General features: G+C 44.4%; 1 long non-coding RNA gene across 1 annotated transcript, besides 1 other annotated feature; it reads right to left on the reverse strand.

Annotated features, from left to right (window-relative positions):
• Positions 1–2,511: 2,511 nt before the first annotated feature.
• On the reverse strand, positions 2,512–26,623 carry LOC105373404 (uncharacterized). Its single transcript, XR_922745.3, has 4 exons — positions 26,437–26,623; positions 23,833–23,992; positions 20,564–20,657; positions 2,512–3,072 (listed from the first exon to the last, which is right to left on the reverse strand). It is a non-coding gene; the product is annotated as an uncharacterized LOC105373404 (long non-coding RNA).
• Positions 2,856–4,055: an enhancer, noted in NCBI's record as "CDK7 strongly-dependent group 2 enhancer chr2:6913298-6914497 (GRCh37/hg19 assembly coordinates)". NCBI's record gives its function as "activates an origin of replication core promoter dependent on BRD2, BRD4, P300/CBP, MED14 and CDK7 cofactors, with strong dependence on CDK7, by STARR-seq in HCT116 cells {active_cell/tissue: HCT116}" and the evidence as "EXISTENCE:reporter gene assay evidence [ECO:0000049][PMID:35650434]".
• Positions 26,624–26,847: the final 224 nt, after the last annotated feature.

The following is a 26,847-nucleotide window of genomic DNA, read 5'->3' on the forward strand; positions in this document are numbered from 1 at the left end:
TGTGACCGTGGTGAAGGAAAATCTCAGCCTCTGCTTCCCACCTCCTCAGCCCCTGCCTCAACAGGAAGCCCACAGCGCAAGAGACGCCATTCTAGGGCCAGGAAGGAAGAGCCTCAGACCCTGGAATTGCCATGTACAAACTAGACGTGTATTTATGGTGTGTCTGAATGTACAACAATTTCCTGTTTCGGAGAAAATAGTTCCTTCCTGGAAGGGCTGTTCTGTATTTGCACACTTTTCCCATGTGATTTTGGGGAAAAGTACCTGACTTTCTGTGAATAGACGCACTTTTTCTTACCGAAAATAATGATAGTTTCAATCTGGCTATAATCGTTCATATTCATGATTTTTTTCGGATGTAGAAATCAGCAGTTTTGCATTGTAAGACCTCACCCATCCACCACTCACCGTCCCCACACCCCTGGGAACAGGAGGAACCTCACAGAAGAAGAAGGTGGATTTTACTACCTACTTGCCACACCTCAATCTCTCTGTCTGTAAGCAGAGAGAATACGGTAATAATAATATTAATAATGATAATAATAATACCTTTCTCACAAGTTCGCAGGGAGGGATGAGTTCATGCACATAAAATGCTCAGCCCAGCACAGCTGAGCACACGATTCTCAGCACTATTACTTGCATTCTTGTCACTGAAAGGAAGAGGGAACGGAGTGTGACAGCGCAGGTTAGACCCCCGGCGCAGCCATCCACCTGCCACTTTGTCACAGGGACTCCACGACTAACTGCCGCCCTATTTTCCCATAAGCAGGCAATGGTGATGATAAAATCATTCTCAAAGCTTAGGGAGGCCAGGACCCAACCCAGGGCCGATCAACGCAAAGCCCTTGCTGCTTCCTATCCCATAAAACCCAATTATTTATGAATGTGAACCTAAAGCCGCATCCTAATTTAGAAGGCATGGAGATAACATGGCCAAGCAGCCGCCTCTCCAGGCAGCGAGATGACTAGGTAGGTCCCAGAGCCCTGAGCATGTCCCCTAGAAAACAACTCAAGACAAGTGCATTTGCATGCCTTCTTCTGTCTCTCTGAAATCACTCAGTTATAGTCACTCAGTGTGTGCTCACAAACACTGAGTCTCCCCTACACGTGATGCATTTCAGTACCAGGGCAATTCGAGTGAGAAACATGGCCATAGCCCCCAGCCTCTTGGACTATCAGAACTCTTAGGAAGTACAAGGATTGAAATATGTGGTCTAACAGCAGAGCGGTATTTTTCTCATTGTACCACCTTGTTGTAAAAAATTGCTGGAGCCTGAAGGAAACCACCTATGGGAAGGGTGTGAGTCAATGGTTCCCCACTTCTGCAGAGTTCCTTCTGAGCAGCTCAGAGCCCACCCCGTGTGGACACATCTCTTACCAAGATGACCTTCCCCTAGCGGGAAACGGAGGAATGAGCAGGCGGCACTCACAGTGCCAATTACAGCAAGGGGATTTGCATAGGAGACCTAACTGCCTGTTTCAATTAGGAGCAGCAACTCCCTCCTTCTTCCTTCCCAAGGAGCCAGGAACACCAGGCATGTGGGTTTGGATTTGTCTGGGAGGAGGCATGACTGTGCGCACCAGAGTGAAAGCCTCCCCACTCACACTGCTCACCTGGAGAGAGGCTCAGGGATCCTGGCAGGCGCAATGTTTGAGAAATGCCCAGGCGAAGAAGATGAATGCTTCCTTTCACCGGGCCCTCCCTGGCTTTAACTCTTCTTAGTCCTGTCTCTGGGAGACCCTGGCAGCCCCTCGCAGCTGTGACCTCTCTAAACTGTCAGCCTCAGATTAACTGATACTTCATCAATTTTGCCTGAACTGCATTTGCAACCCGGTCTCAAGAGGACAGCCAAGTGCATCAACGCTGGGCATTAACCCCCCAGAACCAGATTGCCTTCAAAACGAGGGGGACTTTTCCAATATTCTCACAGCGGCCCGGGCAACAAGCCTAGGGGGACTTTGGCCAGAGGGGAGAGAAGGGGCCTCTGATTATTCCTTGTAAATTTTTCATGAGGACATCTGCCCATACTCTGCGCCTCCTCCAGAGCTGCCCTCTCTCTCTCTCTCCCTTCCTCTGTCTCTGTGTTCAGGCCTCTGACAAGGCATGAAAAACGAGAATGATTGGGCCTCAGTCCCCATTAGCCAGGAAGTGACTGATGGGAGGATGGGCGTGTGTGGTGACTTCAGGCTTGGGAGGGGCCGGGGCTGCCGGGTTTTGAAACAAAAGACCAGTCAGGAATGGATGAGTCCTAGGTGGATCTGCAGATGGAGGCTGTGCTGTGAGTAGGTGGCTAAGGTGCACAGATGGTCATGGCTGATAGGCCAGCCTGGCCCGGGCTCCTGGTTCTGCAGACCCCAGCTCTGGGCTGGAAAATCGGTCCCCGCCTCCCCCATCTTCCCCAAGATTGTCCCCGTCCTTCCTCGGGCAGACCTTCACCGTGGAGCAGAAAGCTGCCTACAATATCGCCCAAATCAAAGCCAAGAAGAATTAGAGTGTAGGGACAGGGGAACAGGGAAGTGCTTTTTTAATTTAAATAATAAAAAATAAAAAATAGTCATTCTTTTGGAAATACTAGCAGCTTACAAGCTTTAAAATCCTCTTTCCCAACAGTTTAAATCAAAAGCCAGCAGCCCTTTCTCATGGATGCATCAAATCATGCAGATGTCCTTTTTGTGCCCCCTTTAAGGTGACATGTGCTTCAATTTATTTTTAATCTTCTAAGTGATGTCATCAGGACGCCGCCCGGGTGACACGGGAGGTGGCTGCTCCTGGGGCTGTGGGTCTGGGCAGTGCAAGCTCCACGCGCACTGACCCCATGGGCTCAACCCAGAGTCCACAGTCAGAAACCGGCCCCGGGCGGCAGGAGACGCTGCAGAGGGAGATTCCATAGAAGAGGTAAATTCATTAAGAAACTCATCACCGAGCACACCTTAGAAATCCCACCTTTTGTGCTCAACGTGGCCGGGTCCCCGGGGACGCCGTTGGCAGCTCTCCATGGAGCAACAGTGCCACCCAGTGGTCAGTCCTCGCGATGCCGCCGCCCGCTCCCCTGTGCGGTCCTCAGCGGCCTGGGAGAAGACAGAGAAAATGAGTTGGTACAAACGCTTGCCCCGAATATCACATCTTTAAATAGTTACCCACATGAAAGAAGGCCTGCAACTGATTCAAAACCACCTCGATGAAAAAAATCTGAGCACACCCATCAAAGGCACTGCGCACAGAACTCAGGAATGTTTTCTGCTGTTTGGAGTTTTCTTCTCCCCTCCTCCCTCCTCAATAACGATACTGGTGATTACATCTTCCAGGGGAAAATAAAATTAAATGCATCGACTTAATTGTTTAATTAGTGTGAGCATAGGTAGTACTATCCAATTCAAAGATCTAAGCAACTGAAATTCCATTTGGAGGGAGTTCCCCCACTACGGGAAAAGGAAGCAGGAGTGTCACAGGATTGGGGATCACACAGATGGAGGGAGAAATCTGGCCCTACATCTCCCGCGTGTGGCTGATGACGATGGGTGAATCCCCTGTGGGCATTCCTGCCTCCTCATCTGTGAAGCGGATCACCTGTGAAGTCAAATTTGCAGAGAAAGTGATTCTAATTGATGAACTCGAAAGAAATGGGAGTATTGTTACCACCCAGCTTCCTTTTGAACCCCTGCCTCTATTCCTAATGCCATTTCCACTGTACCTTTCCGCCTAAATGTCCCCTTTCTCTCTTTACAGACCTGTAAGCGCAACGCAGACCCCGCCCTCCTGCGCCAACAAGCCTCTTCTCCAAACGCTCCATGAAAGCTGATGATTCTCACTTCTAGGTTTTCTGATTGATCACGTTGTCAAGATGGATCTCTGTATTTTCCTGTATTCTTCTCCCCATAGCTCTTTCCTCATATTGTGGATGCTTTAGAAACCCTTATTAGTGAATTGGCTTGTTTTCAAATTAGAAAAACCTGAATGTTAAGGCAGAAAGGACCTGAATCTTAAGGCAAAATACTTGGATCCACGATCTGACTTCATCTCTCCGTATCTGGCCTTATCTCTCCAAATCAACAGGAGCAATCCCTTGATTTAGGTAGAGGGCTGTTATTTTGTTTTGTTTTCATCCATGAAATGAAAGTTTGGGCTGGGGAAAAGTTTGCAGTATTTTTGTTGTAGTTCCTGCAAGTTTTCAGCTAATTACTTAGTGATGCCTCTTAAAAATCTCACATAGTGTGTTATTTCAAAAAGTTATTCCGTGAGTCCTGTAAATTACTAGGTTAAATCGTGTAAAATTGCTGTTTTATTGGCCAAAAATTAACAACTATGAAAAAATGTCATAAGATATAACCTAAAATAGCTCTTCCAGAGAATTAAATCACTCAGTTATAGTCACTCATTGGTGCCCACAAACACTAATTGAGTGTCCGCTATACGTGGTGCATTTCAGCACCAGGGCAATTTGAGTGGAAAACATGGCCCCCAGCCTCCTGGATTATCAGAACTCTTAGGATGTACAAAGGACTGAAATCCGTGGTCTAACAGCAGAGTGGTGTTTTTATCATTGTACCACCTTGTTGTAAAAAAAAATGTGCTGGAGCCTAAAGGAAACCATGCATGGGAAGAGTGTGAGTCAATGATTGGCTATGAATCAATTATCCAGTAGGCTGCCTCTTATTGATCCCTTACCTGTTGCCAGGTACATGCTAAGCACGCATATGCGTTATCTCACTAGCTCCTCATATTATCTTGTAAAGTGGTATCTTTGGAACTTTCTTCCTCATTTAAGGATGAGAAACAATGAAACTTAAAGAGATTTCAGAAATTTTCCAAAAGCCATCTAGCTGTTAAGTGGCAGACCTGGGATTTGAACCCATTCTTCAGAGTTCTAGCACATGGCTTTAGCTGATTCATTCTGCTGTCATCTTTCATACACACACATCACCACCTATGTAATTGGCCCATGTGCAGTTCCAGCCGTTCACTCAAACACACGCATACATACACTAATGTCACCAGGAAGACAGTGTGCAATTGCACATGAGTGTCCTGGAAACACCAGGACAGGCCGACACACATGAACTGAGTCAGAGAATTATGCCATGATTAGGAGAGAACATTAAGACAGAGCACAGATAAGATAAAATGAGATAAGAGTGCCGACTGGTCATGGTGGCTCACGCCTGCAATCCCAGCACTTTGGGAGGCTGAGGCGGGTGGATCATGAGGTCAGGAGATCAAGACCATCCTGGCCAACATGGTGAAACCCCATCTCTACTAAAAATACAAAAATTAGCTGGTGTGGCGGTGCGTGCCTGTAATCCCAGCTGCTCGGGAGGCTGAGGCAGGAGACTTGCTTGAACCCAGGAGGCGGAGGTTGCAGTGAGCCAAGATCACACCACTGCACTCCAACCTGGTGACAGAGGGAGACTCCATCTCAAAAAAAAAGAGTGCCTACCCTCCCTCCTGGATTAAGCTTGGCACCCTCCCTCCTGGATTAAGCTTGGCTGGCACCACTCCCCTATGGGGCAGAACAAGGTTGGTAACTTGGTAACTCAGCTTCTCCAAGCCTCAACCTGACCTTCTGTACAGTGTGGACAATGATCACCGCCCTGCAGGATGAGCGCAGGCTCAATCAGTGCCAATGCAGAATGCCCCCCACACTCTGACAGGACACACTTCTTCACAGGAGACTAACAAACAGTGACCAACACAGCAGCGGTGGGCTCCGGGCAAACTTCCATTTGATGACCTCAGAAGGGAAGCATCTTAAAGGGGTAAAGGTGAGAGGATTATTAATGGTTTTAAAAATATATATCTCTGTGAATGAATGGTTCATCTTTAAATACAATGAAATCATTTCAATTTTAAAATGTATGGAGAATAAGAAGGCAAAAAATGTTAGCAAAGTCTTTACAGATGCTGGGGTTCAGAATCTGCGGTGGCGTCAATACTATTTTCTCCTCCAAATACACCCAGGAATGGTTTCTTGAAATCCTATCTGGCAGACTGCCAGCACACCACGATCATTTTACAAGTGTTTGTATATTTTTTAAAATAGGTTTATGGTGATGAGAACATCTGATGTCCTTAAGGGTTCTTCCGTTTTCACTTGCTTTTTGTCCTTACAATAGCTGTCTGATATGATCAGGTTGTGTTGCAATAGGTCTCATTTATTGTCTAAAACAGTGGTTTCCCTTGTTTTCTGATTATTTATTTAGTAGGACAATCTGAGAACATAAAGAATCTACTCCTATTATGTATTAATTAATTATGTATTAATAATTATGTAATTATATACACGTACTACTGAAAAAGATGAATACATTACAACATGGGTTCCCAACCTCTGACCTGTTAGAAACCAGGCCGCACGGCAGCAGGTGAGTGGCAGGCGAGTGAGTATTACTACCCGAGGTCTGCCTTCTGTCAGATCAGCAGCACCACTGGATCCTCATAGTAGCACAAACCCTATTGTGAACTGCATATGCAAGGGATCTAGGCTGCACACTCCTTATGAGAATCTAATGCCTGATGATCTGAGGAGGAACAGTTTCATCCCAAAACCACTACCACCCCAACCCTGTCCTTGGAAAAATTGTCTTCCACGAAACCAGTCCCTGGTGCCAAAAAGGATCACTGCTTTACAAAACAAAAGGGAAAAACAAACGAACAAAAACAAAAAAACAAAAAGAAAAAAACACCTTAAAGGATGAGTTAAGGGAAAATGAATAAGGTTTTAAATCAATTTTTAATTTTTGCTTATCACTAAAAATACAAACCTCTGTGCTTTAATGAAGAAATATTTTATCAATAATAATTTTAATGAGAAAATATGATTTTTTATGTTGCTTTGACACTTTGGGATATAATAAAGGTGAAGCTGTAAATTCAGTTCATTTTTTGTACTAAATCATAGTTGAAAAGTGCATATGACAAAAGTACATAAATCCAAACAGAAGGGCATTATCAACTGTGCCTTTTACATTTTGGTATCACATTTCAATTCCATTCAACAATTATACCTAGACCTGTTGCTGTTACTAAAATACACCTACTGAATTTTCTTTTTCATCAATGTAAGTGAGTTGTTCTTGCAAGTGAATTAAGAAATTAGTGCACTTTTTAAATTTTATCAAATGGATTCAAAACACTATAACTCATTTTAGAAAATTTAAAATAGGTTAAAGATGTTTTTGTACATTTTCACAATGTACAGATTTGAGAGTTTCGTTGTCATTGCTGAGATATGTTTTGATGATAAATTCACATTATCATAGAATCACTTCCAGACATCTAATTTCGAATTGCCCATTTACTCTCCACAGCGTACGTTTATCTCAAAAAAGCAGTCACTTTCTCATTTGTTGTTTATAAATCACCTATGAGTTGACGTTATATACTTTAGGTAATTATTTTTGTATGTGTGAATTTATTTATATTTAATTTAGTAATTTAAAAAATACCTGGTTGGTAGCATCTGCGGTTAACTAGCACTCAGCACCTGTGTCCCCCATGGATCACTTGCATTCAAATAATAATAATTTTCATAACTCTTTTCTAAATTTGACAGCTCTTCTGAGTACTTTGCCATGTGATCTGCAGCAAACGTATGTGTGCTATGAAATATTTTCATATGTATTTCCCTTGTCTTTAAAAGATATTGCAACATTTTAATTGACACTTTATCAGGAATAACCCTGTGAATGACTGATACCTGACCGGATCTTGTTGTATTATAACTGTTGTTGTTAATTGCACAAAGCATCACCGATTACCCTTCTATAATTTTTTCCATGCAATATTATTTCATTAAATGAATGCTTTGCTGTTCAGAATGGAGCTTGTTTCTGACAGGTCTTTCTTTTGTAGATCACAAAGAAGTTGTTCTTTGTGTATTTCATTATTGAAACTGAACTTTGCAAGTATCAGAATGTTGGGCATGTTAGAAACATCTGTACTTTAACTCAGCTGTGTAGAAAACCCCTCAAACTGAATAATTTATTCACACATTGGTGCCCTTCAATCTTCAGTAATATTTTTGTTCATCTTCCAAAAGTGTTTGAAGGCGAAGGGCACGATTTTGTACGTGCCACCTTGTTTTGTGAATTATTTCAGCAAAGTAGGAAGGAAAGGTGTTTTAAATTGATATTGCTCCTTGTTCTTTTCTATTAAGAAAGAAAACTCAAAGGGGGCATCTAGAGAATTCCCATTGAGTGAGCGGAATTTTGCAACGTATAGGACTGAATCATGTAAAAATTTTAGCATTTCCAAAAATATGATACATGTTTGTCTTCATATTCGGATACTGGGGTTTTAAAGGTCTTACTAATTGTGTTGGATTTGTACTTTCTTAGCTAATACCTCAAGGTCCTATGCACAAACAGAGTAAATTAATAATAGTGGATGAAAATATTGTTTCAAATAATTTCACATAATGTTAAACTTTGTTTGTGCTCTTGTCAAATCTTATGAGATGACTTTTGTTTTAACCCGGTTATAACTAGTTGATAACTTGCTTCAGAAGGAAAACGTACACCAGCTGTTTTATTTGTGTTCACTTATGTTTGCAATATTATTGTTTATTGTTATTATTATTAACCTCAATCCATTGCTTACTGCAAGGATACTTCTAAGGTATCTATCCATTTTGGAGGGCTGACAGAGTTAAAAATAAAGTAATGTATAAATGCACCTTGCCAGAGACAAGTAAACTGCAGTAGCTCATGACACTGAACACACAGAAGTGCATGGGCCACCACCATCAACCACCTGCCCCAGGGTCAGTTCTGTCTTCCCCGGGAAGATCATCTGCCCCAGTGGAGGGAGAGCACCAGGGCACACCGGTGCAGGTGGTTCTGCTCCAATGTTGATTTCACATTCACATTTGTTGCAACGAGGTTGATATTAGGGAACAATTTGACAATAAGGCAAATTTTGTGTTTGTGTATGTGTGATTTCATTTGCAAGAAATGCCAGGTGAACACAGAACTGCACGCAGCTGATCTGAGACTAGGAACGCACAAGTGCATGCACACACACCCCAGCATTTTCCAACCTCCAGTTCACCTCACGTGTTAGAAGCCTCACCACCCACCTCTGGGGCTACAACTTTCCCTCCCAATCCAGATCACCCACTGTTTAAATCCATTTAGGCTGTTGTAACAAAATATCTTAGACTGGGTAATTTATAAACAAGATTAATTTATTGCTCACAGTTCTGGAGACTGGGAAGTCCAAGATCAAAGCACCAGCAGATTTGATGTCTGGAAGGGTCTGTTCCTCATAGATGCCACCCTCCTATGTGACCTCACATAGGGGGAGGAGCAGACAAACTCCCTCAGGCCTCTTTTATAAATGCAACCATCCCATTCATGAGGGTGGCATCTTCATGAAATCTTCATGACCTAATCACCTCCCAAAGACCTCACCCCCTAATACCACGACATTGGGGGTTAGGGTTTTAATATATGAAGTTTGGAGGGACACACATTCAGATCATAGCCTCCTACTCCCCCCATTTCACCACAGTGCACAAGCTGCAACCCCAGTACCCACACTCTCAAGCAAGCTTCAGGCCTTTTTCAAGGTTAAGCACCATAGTTTCTGTAGTATTTATGCATATGTTAATCATTTAGCCTGTGTAAAACTATACTACTGTTTTTATTAGGTCACTATTCTTTATGTCATGGACAAAAATTTAGAATGATGTGTCGCTAGTCCCATTTATCCCCAACAACCCTGTGGTTTCTATTATCCAGTGTTGCATAGGATGGGGATTTTTAGACGCATTTGCATCCTGTTACAGTGGAACTGACTGTAAAATATAACTTTCTTCTTTCTCATCAATATAACTTTCTTCTTTCTCATCTCTTCCATCACTTGTAACCAAAAGCATTCCAAACTCTCCAGGAACCTAAATTAGACTTGGGAGCCAGGAAAAGTTTATTGGAGAAGGATGGGAAGGAAAACGACTTCTGGCCAAGAAGGCAGTAAATCTCTCAATGTTGCATCAGGTGCTTTGGATGCATTATTTCAAATACTCCTCACAACAATCCCATGAGCAAGGCATTAGGGCCTTTATTTTATACACATGAAATGGAGGTCTGGCGGCATCGAGGACTTCACTGAAGGTCAGGCAGCTTTTGCAGCCATTGAAACACCAACACTGAGAATCTTTCCACTCCATCATGTGTGGCTGGAAGGGCTCACTACCAGAGTGTCCTGGTCTGCACTCCACCAGAGGCCCTAATAAAAATCCAGGGTCCCACTCCTCAGAAAGACATACATTGAAAGACTAGTGAGCTCTTGCCTCCTCTAAGGAGAGAAACATCCACTAGCAAAGCCCAACAAGATGGTGGGATAGAGGCCTCTGAGCCATGGGTCTAAGCACTCCATCCCCTACCTTGAAGTGACACATGGTGGCTCTAAGGGGCACATTTTATCCAAAGTTCATGGAAGGGGCAGCTCCTGTGGAATCCACTCCTAAGTGGCGCTCACTCGGTGGTTCCACTGGCAGTGCTCCAAGTACCAGTTCCTCCTGCTGCATGCACCACGGGGCCATTGCCAAGGGTGGCTTCCATCAGAAGCAGCTGTGTGCATTGCTCCAAGGAAGGCAACAACGCCTGGAAACAGCTGCTTCCAGTACCTGGCTCTTACGGGGGCTCTCACGGCATCCCAGCATTTCCTGTCTATTAAAACAGATGTTCTCTCTCTGGCTGCCAGCCAGATTGGCATCATCTTTCCACATGGTAGCAGGCACCGGCTGTGTATATGTGAGGAAGTTACTTTGACTTTCTTAGTTTCAGTTTCCTCTTACATAAAATAGAATGAATGCCTCTCAACATTGTCATAGAGATTAATTGTGATAAAATATGTACAGAGTATGACTGTAAAAAGCAATCAATACATCCCCCATCCTGTGTGCGTGTGTGTGTGTGTTTCCTCTCTCCTTTGGACAACAGTTTCATGAGAAGGTTCCAGACGAGTTACTTTGCTATGACACAGCTCACTCAGTATTAGCCGCTTTTTAGAACGGAGAAACAAAGGCTGCTAAAGAAGGGATACTAGAAGAAAGAAAAAGAGTATGATGAAAAGAGTGTAAAATGTGAAATCTAAGTGACTGAGTGTGCATCCTCACTCCATCGTGCACTCGACTTATGATAGCAGGCATTGCCTCGGGAGCCGCAGGGTCCTCTCTAGCCCAGTGGGGAGAGCCCGGCCCTGTGGGCCCAGATTACTTAGCAGTGGCTGAGCAGGATGGGTGCATTGTCTGGAGGGCTGCCCTGAGCTCAGACCCCCATAGCAAGGGGAGAGGCGAGGGAGGAGCAGGTTCTGGAGCAGCCTGAACCCCTTTTCACCAAAGGTCGCCAGTTACAGAATACTCCAGCAAAGCTGGGCTCCCTACCCACAGACACCCTGGGTCAGACCCTTCCCTGTTAACTCCAAGCATCTCAGTCCTCCTTATACTTGCACCTGGGGATAGGGCAGTGGAGAGCGGCCCCTTCCTTGGCAAGCACACATGTGCACACCAACATATACACACAATACACACACACACTCTCTACACAACAATATACACACATACCCAATATACACACTATACACACATACACAATTTATACACTATATATATGCACATGCACACATATACACACATATATGTACATCCGTACACACACATATGCAATACATACACACCACACACATATGCACACATATACCACATATACGTACATACAACACATGCACACAATACACACACAAACACACAATACACACATACCACACACGCTGCACATGCCGTAGAGTCCGGGCCAGCATACTGCTGTAAGGTGGGAGCCCAGGGGGTGTCACACCCCCTCTTCTTGCTAACCCTTGGGTTACCCATTTCCCCAGTTAACACACGCCTGTCAAACACGTGCTGTATGGAAACTGATCTGAGTCCGGTTGACCAACAGCACAGCAGGGATAACAATTCTTAACTTGTGGGATTGGAGTTAGTGCTGAATAAATTACCACGTGTCAGTACCAAGCCCACAGTCGGCCCCTAGGAGACCCATATAAAGGACTGATTTTACTTCCCACAGCACTGAGACCGGGCGAGAACCCAGGCCTGGTAACCCCGTCCGTCCTTATTCCTTCCACTTACTTGTCTAGAATCAATGGAAATGTGGACCTCGGGAAATGTGGTCTTTCCCAGCTCCTCCCTGGGAGACAAGCATCAGCATCACATTTAGGACTGGGAAGCAGGGCTGTCTCCTGGAGATGCATCCAGTTCCCTGATAGGGTGGCTTTACGATTCATGTTTGCGGAGTATTTCAGGAGATTTTAGGGAAGAAAGAACAATTTTTTCTGGGACCTTTGTGCTTTTTCTGTTTTCTCAAAGTGGCACGTGAATAAATTCAGCTTCATCCAAAAAGAGGAACAGGTTGTCCTAAATTCTGTGCCCGCGAGTTACCATCAAATTTCACAACAACCACTTAGCAAAGTGGGTGCAGCAAAGGCCACTTTAGCCCTCCGGGCCGGATGCCCAGGTAAGCAGCCCGAGAATGCTGGCCAACCCCGTCCCTCGTGCTGTTGTACCAGGCTCTCACGCGGGCCTTGCTTCCTCCTCTCGGGGGCCAAGGTTGTTCTTTGGTTGTTAGTAGACCTGGCTTCTCTGACTGGATAGCGGGTATGTGCCAGCGTGCACCTGAGCACCTCCCCTCCTCCTTCCCATCAGGCTCCATCTGCACTCAGGCACTGCACCTCCTGCTCAGAAACCTCCGGAAATTAGCCTAGTTGGCCTATGACCCAGCCAGGAGCTCCAGTCACTCTCCAGGGAACTCTGGACAGAGAGAAATAGTAACCTTGCTGGTCTATTGCATTTTTTAGTCAAAATGTTCACTATAAATGCATTTTCCTGTGCACTTAGTTTGGCATACCTCTTAGAACATAATTAATGTCTTCCCATTTGAAAAAGAAAACAGAACAATTTATGGTACCTTCTCCTGCATACCAGAAGGAATCCCCATGGGGTTAAACATTTTACAAATATCATTCAGGAGGTGGCAGGTTTTTAGAATGAAAATCCCACTGTAAATCATTCCAATGAAAAGAGGATTCCTTGGGAGGCACACAGGCTTTTTATAGGGCACTTAGCTTCCCCTGGTTCCCTGACCAATGTGCTCTCTGACGCTAACTGAGATTCACTAAGCCTGTAGGAGATGAAAGAGCACCGCACCAAGAGTCAGAAGAGCCGACCTCACGTCCTGCGTGACCTTGAGGCATCCCTCATCTGGGCATCCACACTTGCAAAGGGAACGTCCTCACTCTGGCACTTCAGAAGGTGTTGCCAGGTACCGTAAGGAAGCAGATGCCAGGCACAGTGCAAACATAAACCCTCTGTTGAATGAAGAGTTCAATGAATAAGCAAAGAAATGAGTGCATTTGCAAATTATAAAATATTTAACAAATGTAATAAATCAGCATATCAATATAAGGAACTGGTATATCAGTGTAAGAACAGATTTTCTGGCTTTACACTTGAGTGAAATGGTAGATTAGTGCTTTATCATTATTCCTCAGCTATACAGAAACAAACTGATAAAAACCAGAGAGAAAAAGAGAGTGAGAAAGAGGAAGCATGAGGGCACACCAGTGAAGATGCAGGAGAAGGGAAGGGACCACGGTGTGCAGTGCTGGCTCAGTGTGTGTCAACCTGCGTGCATGGTTTCCATGTAGCCTCTCACTTGCTCTGCACTGCAATGCAAGGTGGTAAAATTGCTTTTGTTTTAATTTGACATACAAGGAAAGTGAAATTAAATCACCTATGTAAAGTCACACAGGAAAAAGCAGGGAAACAGATAAGCTTGGCCACGGATCTGTGGACCACCTTTTATACCTCCTTAAAATGTTGTGCTCCACTGCCTCATGCATCTTCCCAAGGGAAGATGTTAACACACTTGAAAAATTTAGAGTGCTATAGGAAGAAGAGGTGGTTTTCTCACAGGCTAAGTTACAAATATGACCCCAGGAGAGATAAAGAGAAGGGAGGAACCTCTCCTCCCTGTAAAAGCTCACAGTATAAACTCTAAAATGTCAAGAAGAGTTAGCTAAAATGGTGGCAAACAGCAGAAAAGGGACAATACAGCATTTGAGAAGAAAATTCAGGCAGTAAGGCTAAAACTTCCCGCCAAGGATTACCTCATTTACCAACAAAGATTATGAAATCATTGCTTGAGGCAATCTGGGCAAACATGATGAAGGCAATTAAGAGGACTTAATCCATACAGCTTGAACTTTGCATGTCAGTCAGGGTTCTCCAGAGAAACAGAAGCAATAAGAAAGATAGAGGATGATATGGTTTGGCTCTGTTTCCCCGCTCAAATCTCACCTTGAATTGTAATATTTCTCATGGGTTGTGGGAGAGACCCAGTGGAAGGTAACTGAATCATGGGGGTGGGTTTTTCCCAGGCTGTTCTCATGATAGTGAATAAGTCCCACGAGATCTGATGGTTTTATAAAAGGGAGCTCCCCTGCACATGCCCTCTTTCCTGCCACCACGTAAGATGAGATTTTTCTCCTCTTTGCCTTCCACCATGATTGTGAGACCTCCCCAGCTAATTAAAGTGTGAGTCAATTAAGCCTCTTTCCTTTATAAATTACCCAGTCTCAGGTATGTCTTTATAAGCAGCATGAGAACAGACTAATACAGATGATAGCTATATAGAGATAGATAGATAGATAGATAGATAGATAGATAGATAGATAGATAGATATAGATGGATGGATAGATAAATGTAGACAGACTGATTGATTATTAGAATGGACTCATGAGATCATGAGGTAATTCAGTCTGAGTTCAAAGGCCTGAGTACTGATAAATGGGTAGATGGTTGGGGGATGGGGCAATGGTGTAACTCTCAGTCGAGTCTGAAGGCCTGAGAATTGGGGGGACACTGGTGTAAGACTCTGAGTTCGAAGGCCCATGAACCAGGAGCTCCAATGCATAAGGACGACAGAGGATGGATGACTCAACTTAAGCAGAGAGAGGGAACTCACCCTACCTCTTCCTTTTTGCTCTAGCCAGGCCCTCAATGGATTGCCTGATGCCCATCCGCTTTGGTGAGGCTGGGTCTTCTTTACACAGTTCACCAATCTGAAGGTGAATCTCTTCTGGAAACACCCTCACAGACACACCCAGAAATACAGTTTTACCAGCTCTCTGGGCATCTCTTAGCCCCGTCAAGTTGATACACAAACTTAGCCATTATACTTGGCCAATACCCAGATAGACAGCATCTGTTCATGACTGTTCCTAGGGTTCTGTTTGGGATGAACATCTGCAGTGTATACGCAGCCCTGACGCATAGCCCTCCCCACAGTCCTGTGTGAAAGCACAGTGAGGAGGAAGCAGGGAGGCAGGATATGGGCCAAGTGGGAAGGGAAGGCCCAAGGAAAGGGCCAGGGACAGGGAGTTTGCATCTGCTGCAGCTGGCTCCACACAGGGGCCTTCTGAGCTCACATGGTGATATAGTTTGAATACATGTTCCCGCCAAATCTCATGTTGAATTTTAATCCCCAGTATTGGAGGTGGGGCCTGGTGGGAGGTGATTGGACCATGGAGATAGATTTATTGTAAATAGTTTAGCAGTATCCCCTTGGTCCTGTCCTCACAATAAGTCAGTGAGTTCTTGCGAGTGTGTGGCACCTCCCCCGTGCTCTCTTGCTCCTGCTATCGCCCTGTGATGCACCTGCTCCCCATTCAACTCCCTTCATGATTTTAAGCTTCTTGAGGCCTCCCCAGAAGCAATGCCAGTGCTATGTTTTCTATATACAGCCTATAGAATCATGAGCCAATTAAATCTCTTTTCTTTATAAATTACCCAGCCTCAGGTATTTCTATATAGCAGTGCAAAAGTGACCTAATACACACCGGCTGAGGACTAGACCTCCAAAGCCCATGTGTGAACATGACTGGTCCAGATGGCAGCAGCCCAGCCAGGGGAGGGCCAGCCCCTCCCTAGGAGCACAAGGCCACATGTTGAGGGGCCCTGACACCCTGACCATGCCAAGACTTATTTTTCGGAAAAATACGTACACAGCAGAAGCCCGGGAGCCTTGTCCCAGTGCCTCCTTCCATTGCAACTTGAACTTGGAATAAATTATCAAGTCCCATTGCTCTCTCAGTTTCCCATCACACATAAACACCCCTCACTCCCTTCATAATCTAAAGCCAAAGACCTAGGAGGATGGGTTATGTTTGCAGGAGATATGAAATCACGACACTGAGAGAGAAGCAAAGTAGAAAATAAGAAGGAAAAGAAAAGGTGCCTGCTCCCCTACTCTCTCCTCTCTCTTGCATCCCAAACCAGCACAGATGACTCCCACATCTTTGAAGGTCACTTTCACATCTCTGGGTTTTGCTAAAGGACCACCCTCAGCAAATCCCTGCAATCCCTGTCTCCTATTATCCCACTCCCTTTCTGCATCCCATATCTCCCCTTTTCCAAATCTGAAGGATCCTTCAAGGCCCTTTTCAAACACTGCCCCTACCCTGAAGTTGACTCAGCCTCTCTGATGAGAAACAGAAAGATGACATGGGCTTTGATTCCAACAGTTGCACTCATGGCTTGGAAACTCCTCAGACTGAAACTGCCTCTGCATAAGAAGATGATGACAGGACAGAGGTCTAGCATGGCTTACTCCCTCTCGCTTCTAGCCTTACAGGCTGGCTATCCGCACTCACTCCTGGGTATAGACCAAGCTAACCATGGGAGGAATTTAGTTGATCGTTTAACTTGGATGCAAGGAAAATAGTCCCTCCCTAAAACTAACCCCCTCCTTGCTCAGTGAGTGAAAACTAACAAAAGGCCATGAGATTAGGATTATGGGAGAGGCTTGAGTTCTTCTCAAGTGTAGGCATAGTTTCTACAATCCCTTACTGCTCAGGAGTCATATGGCCAGAGGTCACGAGATCTGTGACTTCCCCAATTGCTTCTACAGATAACATCACCATTGTAGAACCTAAGATTGGTATTTTGAGATATTGTTTAGATTTCTACATTCTAGCAATCAACTCCATGATTTTTGGTTCTAGTAATCAACTATGAACCTGTGACTCATGACTCAACCAGTCCTGTGGTCTCCACCCAGAAGCTGAGGACCTCAGCACATGAGGACCACTTTCCACGCCCCTATGACTGACTCCCAGCCAATCAGCAGCACTCCTGTCTACCAAATTGGCTATAAAAACCCAACCTCTGAGCTCTTGGAAAGGCTGATTTGAATAATGGACTCCAGTTCTTCCATGTGGCTGCCCTAGCATTAAACTCTTTCTTCACTTCAGTACCATGGTCTCAGTGAACTGGTTTTGTCTGTGCAGTGGGCAGGAAGAATGCATTGAGCAATGAGAACAACTCATGCAGGGATTACTATGTGCCTTAGTATTAAGTCAGTTAATTATTGTTGGAGCTCAGAAAGTGGTACCTCAGAAATGGCGCTTTCCCATGCTGAGAGGCCTGATATGCTGCTTCAGAATCAAGGTCCTTCTAACATTGCCTTATTCACCCACGACCCTAGCAAGCACATGGAGGGATGGAGAGACTCCTGGAATGTCCTTATCTGATCAAGAAAGCTTCTTTCCAAAAGAAACACAATTGCTTTTTTCTCCTTCCTGAAATCTCATTGTCTATCTGGGAAAAGAAGACTGAGGAACGCAAAAGCACCTGCTTTCCGTGTCTCTGGCTCATTGAAATTCCAAAAAAAAGAATCATTTACAAGTTAATTTCTGTCCATTTATTCTCCATAATAATTATTTGCTGCCCCTCAGAAAAAAGCCCCCAGTCCCCATCTCCTCCTCCCCTTATGCAAAGGGGAATATAAGCTTCTGTACCCGTTGGGTTGTTGGGCAACCATTCTGTTGTGATTCTCCATGCTATGCAATGAAAATTAAGTTTTGTATGCTTTTCTCCTATGAATCTGTCTTTTTAAAGTTGATGTTCAATGAACCTTTATAGGGCAAACCGGAAGTTTCCCCTTGGCCCTACATTATCTAAACAACACTAGGAGGAATTATCATAATAAGTATTATTTAGATTCTAGTTTTAAAGATGGGGATCCTGAGCCAGGGAGGTTAAGTAACTTGCCCAAGATCACACAGCTAGCACAACTGAGCCAGGATGCGCATGGCCCAGCCTCAAACTCCAGGCTCCTAATGCCTACACAACACCACCTTGAAGGCTGCTTGGAGTTTCAAGATATTTTTGGATCCCATGTTAAGAACCATTGGTCTAGCTTATTTGACCTAAGGTGCTATACCTATAATTTATGGCGTTTTGTAAGAATTGCAGGAAATCATGTAGGTGAAAATACTTTGTAAATTATAAAATATAAATTATTACTCTTGTGGATCATCACTCTTCCCATTGTACCTGGCCCTCATGGGACTCCTTTACATCAAGTACTCCTAAGGGAAGCTGCAGGGTTCCTCCATATCCTTGGTCATGAATCATAATCCCAGACTAGTTAAGGCATGTCAGACTGACATGGTTTGGCTCTGTGTCCTCACCCAAACCTCATCTGAAATTGCAATCCCCATGTGTTGAGGAAGGGAGGTGATTGAATTATGGGAGCAGTTTCCCCCATGCTTTTCTTGTGATAGTGAATTCTCACGAGACCAGATGACTTTATAAGGCAGTTTCCCCTTCTCGCTCACACACTCTCTCTCTCACCTGCCACCACGTAAGAGGTGTCTCTTCCCCTTTTCCCATGATTGTAAGTTTCCTGAGGCCTCCCCAGCTATGCAGAACTGTGAGTAATTAAACTTCTTTTCTTTATAAATTACCCAGTCTTGGGCAGTTCTCTGTAACAGTGTGAGAATGGACTAATACATAGTCCATCCTTATTCCAACCCTCTCATCTTCTATCCTTGATCCTTTTTCTTGCATATCCGTTCCTAGCTCTCCACCAAACCTTTCATGCAGCTCTAGCTCGCATGTTGGCTCCTCTTGACACCAGCTCTGGCTCTACCACCCAACAACACTGCTCCAGCCCCCACAGATCTACATACCCAGGTTCACGTACCCTCAAAACATTCACAGTGGGGCTCCCTTTGAGACACTTGTACAGGGGACACCTAGATGACCACCACAGCTTAGCACGGTGATTCACATGAAGTCATTTAGTATTGGTTGGATACAACTGTGGCCAAAAATGAGAGCCCTTAATAATTAGAGCAAGATGTTCTGCTGGAGTATGAATGCCTAGCTCATAATTTCTACTCACTAATAAAAATCTTGACAAATATCTCATATTGAATAGAGCACTGTGTTGTTATGATTTGGAAATGTCAATCTCCATTGAATGCATTTTACACCAGGAAGATCCCTGGAGTCTTATTCTTTGTAGCAGGATGAGCGTAATGAAGCCAGCCAGACTATGTCAGGAACAGGACATCCTAATGCATCATGAAGAGTGGATGGCCTCGCTGTAGCCTCTACTTCCCCTTCAGCATTGCTCTCTAGAGGGGCTGCATTGGTAGTAGCATCCTGCAGAAAAGTCAGCTCATCTAGCTGCACACGAACCAACCCGATACTCTTGCACATTAACTCAAGCCTGTAATTCCACGTTGAATTTCTCATGGCATTAGGAAAGCACTCAGGCATCTCTCCACGGAATTACAACCCTATTATGTACAATTGAGTATACATTACTCCTTATTTTCATGTCAATAGCTTGGATAAGGCTATTACTAAAGCACTGGAGTATATAAGAGTTACATACTTAGGGGCAGAAAAAGCTGAACTGGGAAATTAAGATGCAAAATATGAGTGAGTAAAAGCTATATTTTTGTGACACATTTATATCTCAACTGGAGTAATTAGACAAATATGAAATGAGACAAATTGTCATTTTATTTATTTCCATTTTTACTATCATCTAGTCAGCTTTTAATCTGTATTCACCTGCACAAAGTATGCATTTCAGTGGTCTTATCTCTGGGAAAGGCAGGCAAACTGATGCTGCCTCCTACAATATCTAGTTTCCTTTCAAGAAAGCAGAGGGGTTATTGTTTGCCAATTAAAAATAAAAGAACAAGCCTTAGGGGCCAGACTGGGAATAAAGTGGAGTTTTTCCCCAAAATTTTAACACTTTTTTAAAAGTGACAATAATAATAACTGCCAGTTACTGAACTATTTGGGATAATATTTCAGAAAATGAAATATGGAGCAAGGCTGGCAGTTAAAATAGAGTCAATAAGGTTCAAATCCCGCTCTGTCATTAATTATATCTCTCTTAGACTCACTTCTTCATCTGTCAAATGGGGTTTGACATGGGGTTTTTAAAGAATTAAATGAGACGATCTATATGAAAAACTTAACCCACTATATGGCACATAAGCACTTAAAGCTTGTTATTTTCAATTATTACCGAATTATTAATTTAGGCAAATCATAGTCTTTTTGAACCTCTATTTTCTTACCCACAAAATGGGAATAATAATACCTATGCCACAGTATTATTATGAGGACAGCAAATGGCAATGGTGGCAGTTGCTACTGTTAAGTGGGTTGAGAAGCCGGGCAGGGTGGCTCATACCTGTAATCCCAGCACTTTGGGATGCTGAAGCAGGAGGAATGCTTGAGTCTAGAAGTTTAAGACCAGCCGGGGAAACATGATGAGACCTCCATTTCTACAAAAAAATATAGAAATTAGCCAGGTGTGGTGGTGCGTTCCTATAGTCCCAGCTACTTGGGAGGCTGAGGCACGAGAATCACTTGAGCCTGGGAGGCAGAGGCTGCAGTGACTTGAGGTCACACCACTGCACTCCAGCCTGGGTGACAGAGAGAGATCCTGTCAAAAAAGAAAGAGACCCTGTCAAAAAAGAAAGAAAGAAACCATCCTGGCCAACATGGTGAAACCCCGTCTCTACTAAAAATACAAAAGTTAGCTGGTTGTGGTGGCGGGCACATGTAGTCCTGGCTACTCAGGAGGCTGAGGCAGGAGAATCACTTGAACCTGGGAGGCGGATGTTGCAGTGAGCTGAGATTGTGCCACTGCACTCCACCCTGGGCAACACAGTGAGGCTCTGAGGAAGAAAAAAAAAAAAAGCAAGAAAGCAAGCAAGAAAGAAAGAAAGAAAAAAGAAAGAAAGGGAGATAAGCGAAGGGAAGGGAAGAGAAAGAGAGGGGAGGTGAAGGAAGGAAAGAAAGAAAGGAAGGAAAGAAAGAAAGAGAGAGCGAAGAGAAAAAAAAAACTGAAGAAGAAAAAAAGTGGGTGGAGAGCTTAAGGCAAGCTTCCAGGAGGATGGAAGACTCTGGCGACTTCTTGAAGAAAGAGAAAGATACTGGGGTTCACCAAACAAGAGAGTGTGCATCCTGAAGAGTGCTCCAGATGCCTTCTCCAGCTATGATGACAGCACCTGAGGGTGGAAGGGAGGCCCTAGAAAGGGACCAGAGAGAACCGGGATGCCAAAATCATGGGACAGAGGGTGTGTCTGCAGCACAGCTTGGCAGGAGCAAAGAGATACAGTCAGAGAGGACTTGACCCACACTGGCCCACAGGTGGCAGCCTAGGGAGACCCGCTGCCCATGGAGAGGGAGCCGTCAGATGATCAAGTTTAAGTTGATGGCTGAAGGAAGGCAATTACTGGAAGCAAAGTGAGCCAGTCAGCTATCCTGGAGATTCTGCAAATAAAGTGCAGGGTGAGATGAGGACAACTGCCTCTGCGATTTGTCACAGCTGCCCTGGAAGCTCCTTCTGCTACATCATCCCAGTGCTTCTCATTTGGTGGCATTGGTGACACTTTAGTCCATAACCACCATTGTCCATGGAGTCATTGATCCATAGGTTATCCACAGAGCTATGTCCTCCTTGCTGGATAAATGCACAAACTGAAGAAACACATTGAGTCACTGCTAAGGGAATGCCTCAGCTGAGGTCACCAACACAGCATGGTGTGGTGAGAAGGACCAGCCGGCAGTGCCAGGCCAAGCATGTAGGCCAGGAGTGTTGCATGAGGTCAGGAGCCAGGGCAGTGGTGTGGATGGTCCTGCTATGGTTTCCAGAATAAAATGAGATTTTGTTCTTTGATTTTCCACAGTCTGAAATCAATTCTTCAGAACTTTTAGGGCCGAGGCCAAAATGAAAGATGAGATAAAATTACCATAGGCTTCAATTCTGAGTCACAGCTTCACCACCAAACTGGAAAACTGGTGGCTACGAGCATCACTGGAGATATCTCTGAAAGCCAAGAGCACACTTCCAGCTCTGCTGGTCAGTTGCTGCCTACCAAGGGCTGCACTGGGCTCATTAACATCCTGCTCAGAAATGCCACTTGGCTGCAAAGGGAGAAATTGCATCCTCAGAAAATACCTTATGAAAGAGAAGGTTTCTGCTTCTCTCCATTTCTCTGCTAACAGAGACAGTCTTGAAAGGCTACAGGGAGGAGGAAGGAGGAAAGACGGAAACACAGACAGGAAGAGAGACCGTGTTGTATTGACACACGTTTCCAGCAAAATTACCTGGTAATTTACCCTGGCAGTTAAAGAAAAGCATCTGTTTACTGTTGCCACATCAAAATTTCCCCATAAGATTTGTCCGAATAATTGTGGGAGATGAAAACAAGGATATACAGTGGAGGCCTCCATCAGCCGTCAGTGCTGTGCCATGTCTCACCCACTTTTACATCCTGTAATTAAATCAGCGAGCCATTCAGACTGTCTCTGTTTCTAAATTACACGAAATGAGGATCCTTCCAATCACGCCTCACATTCAATTTGTGCTGTCACTCTCTGACTTGAGGAATGGTGAAAGAAAAAATAAAGTCCATCTGGGAATTTTATTTAACCAGGGAATGCCAACCAATACAAGAGATACGGAGCTATAAACAAGTGTTTTAAATAGGGTCTCCCTAGTCTCAAGTCTTGCATAGATGAATGCAGGAAGAAAAGATTGAGGATCTGCACTTTGGAGCACATATTTTTAAAGAATGGACTCCTATTTCATTTTCCACATGGCAAGTATGTTATCCTCAGTAACAGACTAAGGTCTTTGCATGAATTATTAAAAATCCAGGGCAGAAAACTCTAGATAACTGCTTCAATTTGTCGATAGAGATGCAACTTGTGACCAGACCAAGAAGATTAGAGACAAAAATCAAGCAAAAAGAGATTCTATAGCACAGCTCTTAAAAACAACAGGCCCGTTGGCTACTTCAAACACTAACTCTCCCACCTATTAATTGCATCACCTTAAGCAAGCTTCTAAACTCTGCTCTGTGACGCAATTCCCTAGCCTGTGAAGTAGCACTGGTGTGGTCACTTATAAACCCTCCCTCCTGAGAGCATGACAAACTCCAGTATATACAGTAAGCACACAAGGCAAGGACTCTATAAATATTCTTTATTGTTAAAGCTCAATTACTTGTGAGGTAAGTAGGAGAGTTGTGTAGGATTGTGAAAGGGCTTTGATTTTTGGTGCAGACAGTCCAGAGTTTAAAAGTTGTTTCTCCCACTATCTGATCAGAGGCTCCGGAAAAATTAAAGCTTCTATACTTTAGTTTTCTAAATTAGTAAAAAGGTAAAATGCTGAGGATGAAGTCAACCTCCAAGGAGCAGTTTTAGTCGTTAAACAGACTGGTCAAAAGTTAAAGGATTAGTGCCTATTAGTGCCTTTCTCCTTTTCTCCTTCATCAAATAGTAAACTGGGAAGAGCTAAAGCAGAGATCCATAGATCTCAGAAGACGTGAGTGCATGCAGGAACGGTCTGCTTCTCATTCTTCATGTCAAATGAGAGACCAAGAACAGAGGAGGAGCTCATGCAGGCCCAGGCATGTTGCCCGGCACTACGCAGATATAATAACTCACCTTATTACAGGAGCCCTACAACACAACCCTCGTGAGATCACACAGAAGGTCTAAGTCATTTTGTTTGTCTCCTGCATGGTTCTGATGCCACAAATTATTAGGCAGTTCAACTGTAGATTTGCCAGCACTCCCCAGTCACACTCGTTGATGTGCCATGAACCTGCATGGAGAAGAGACATTCCTGAACTGTGATACAGAAGAACACAGGGCTGATTTGCAAGATCTTTTCTATCCACCGTATGCTTTCTTCGAGTCATATTTCTGTGGATTTGAACAAAGAGCTATGCACTGCCCTTGAACCCTTGATGGTGATCATCATCCGTGTCTTATTTATGTCTCTATTTCCAGGAAGAAACCCAGGGCCTGGCACATCACGGGTTTGCAATAGCTGCATGTCTGCCTGTCATTTTCCCTGAGCCTCCTCGGTTCTATATATATTTTTGCTGATTTTGTGCATATGTTGGAAAAACCCTAGAGAAGCAACAGAAAAGCACTGTTCAGCTTCTCGCTGATGTTCTGACCACGTGATCATGATCCTACACTGGGCCATGTGACTGAACTGGTTCTTTTACCTCAGCAAGTCTAATGGCAGCTGTTTGTTAAGTGCCTCCTCTCTGTCTAACGCACTTTACATGGGTTGCTCCATTTAACTGTCGCAGCCTTCTGAAGGAAGCGGTGATATAATCATCCCCATTTTACACATGAGCAAACCGTGGCTTGGGGCAGTGCATTTGCCCAAACTCACACAGTTAGCAAGTACCTGAGGCACCTGGACGAAGGAGCTGCCTTGTTTCCACTTTATTGCACAGGTTCCGTCATCTTATTTAATCTTCACAACAGCCCTATCAAGTCGCTGTTATTATCCTAGTCATAGATGGGGCAGTGAGGGAGGCTTATACACGATAGGCTGGAATTGGTACCCAGATCTTTTCACCTGAAAGCTTAGAATCTTCCATGCACCCCTCGTGGGCTGCTGTGATGAACTCCTGGCCAGGACACACGTGCCTCATGGCCTGAGAAGAGCTCACCACAGCCATCTCCACAAAATAGAATGAGAGAAGTTCAGCGCTGGAGGGAGCATAGGCGATCATACATTCAATCCCTTTGCATTAAAGATAAGGAAACAAATTTTTAAAAATGCCCAGTCTCCTGAAACCCACTTTCCATAAGGAGAAGAAAATAGAACTATATGAAGAAAGGCCAAAGATGGAACTTGTTGGTCTAAAATAGCAGTCAGAAAAGCCCAAAGCCTATCTTTGCTATGGCCCAAGTTAAAAATGGTTTTTATATTTGTAAAGGAATTAAAAACAAGCAATCAAAAAAGACGAAGAAGAAGAATAATCTATGACGGAGACCTGATGTGGCCCACAGAGTCGAAAATCTTCACTCTCTGGCCTTTCACGGAGAAAGGATGCCGACTCCCGATCTGAGCTATGGCTGCGTGTTAGAATGTCCTGGGGAATGTTTTCCAACAAGCCCATCCCCTTTTTAAAAAAATTAATAAAAAAATAAAAACAAAAGCAGAACAAACAAAATATATGCCTGTGCCCAAGTCCAGCTGGAACCAAGCAAATCAGCATCGCTAGAGATGGCAGCCCAGGTGGTGATGCCACTAAAAGTTCCCGGGTGACAGTAATGCACATCCAGGATGGAGAACAGTGGTCTAAGAAGAAAGACAAATGCCTCTTTAGGAAAAAGTTGCTGTTTTATTTAAGAAAAAGACCTCAGTGGGCCTGTGTGGCTGTGAATGTCAAGGTCCACTGGTTCAAAATGAGAAACGTTTAGAAAAAAAAAATGAACTCTTCTGATCGTAAACAACAGAAACTGTTGCCTGCTCTTGGTGGAGATATTAGACAAAGGAGAAAACACAGAGTGAGAGAAGAGAGGTTTTGAGAGAGAGAGTCGGCCAGGATGTGATGGGGTCAGGCAGGCTCAGGAGAGAGCAGCTCAGGCAGGATGGCCTGTGGTGGATTGGACTGGATTTCTAGTGGTCATTCATAAGTTGTTGCCTGTTCTCTGATGGGGCCACTGTATGGCTCCCAAATGTCAGCAAAGTCTGTTTCTCCAAAGCCTGCGTTGGTGGAGTTTAAAGAATGAGGGGAGCGAGGAGTAAAATGCTGGCTGTGGGCAGGGAACCAATGACGTGGGTGGGCAAGAATCCAGGGGCCCGAGCACCGGCCATGAGAATAAGGGCCTCCTCGGACAGAAGGGGACGCTCCCCTTAGGAAGTGGCTTCACGCTTCGGTCACTGCATGTAGATCTTAAAGAAAGGAAATCTCCAGAAGATCGGGGAATGTGGGAGTGGCAGACTCTGGGTTCATGCACAGTAAGCAAACAACTTTCCTTTTTCCTGCAGCTCCCTGTTCCACTTTCCCAACACGTTTCAGCTTCTAGAATCCCTGTCTTTGCTCATATCATTCCCCTGCCCAGGATAGCACCCTTCTCTCAAATGATCAAAAAGACCACTTTGCTTTAAAACCAGCTCAGGCTTCATCCTATGTGCAAGAGCCTTTCTAAGGCCATCTCTGTATTTTCTCAGAAACAAAGGATATATCACTGTTTTTAAGATGTGTTATGTTTATACTTTTATTGGTCTTAACTTACCTATCAATGACACAGGGGCCTTCTCTTATGCCTGGGTTCAAAAAGAGATGCTGAGACAACAAAGGAAGATGCTCGCACCCTCAGCATCCTCACCTGCCCCCTCCTGCAGGCAGGATTCTGCCTGATGGAATCCCAGGTTTGTGAGCCAACACACAATGTTTATGATCAAATCACCAAGAAAGAGGCAGAAGGAGAGAATGAAAGCGCAACCCAATGAGAGCAGCAAGTGCAGAAGGAAGAGAAAGTGTCCAGCCTCATCTGTCTGGGGAAGCTAGGTGTGCATGCAGGGTCAGTGCAAGCATATTTGTTAGTCCCCTGCCACTGAGATGGAGGCCAACAGTTTCTACTTCTCAGAGATTGGCTCCAAATTTCCTATGCAAGATGGCCTTGGAAGAGGCAAACTGGTTGGAA

The sequence above is a fragment of the Homo sapiens genome, chromosome 2, assembly GCF_000001405.40.
Source record: "Homo sapiens chromosome 2, GRCh38.p14 Primary Assembly".
NCBI lineage: Eukaryota > Metazoa > Chordata > Mammalia > Primates > Hominidae > Homo > Homo sapiens.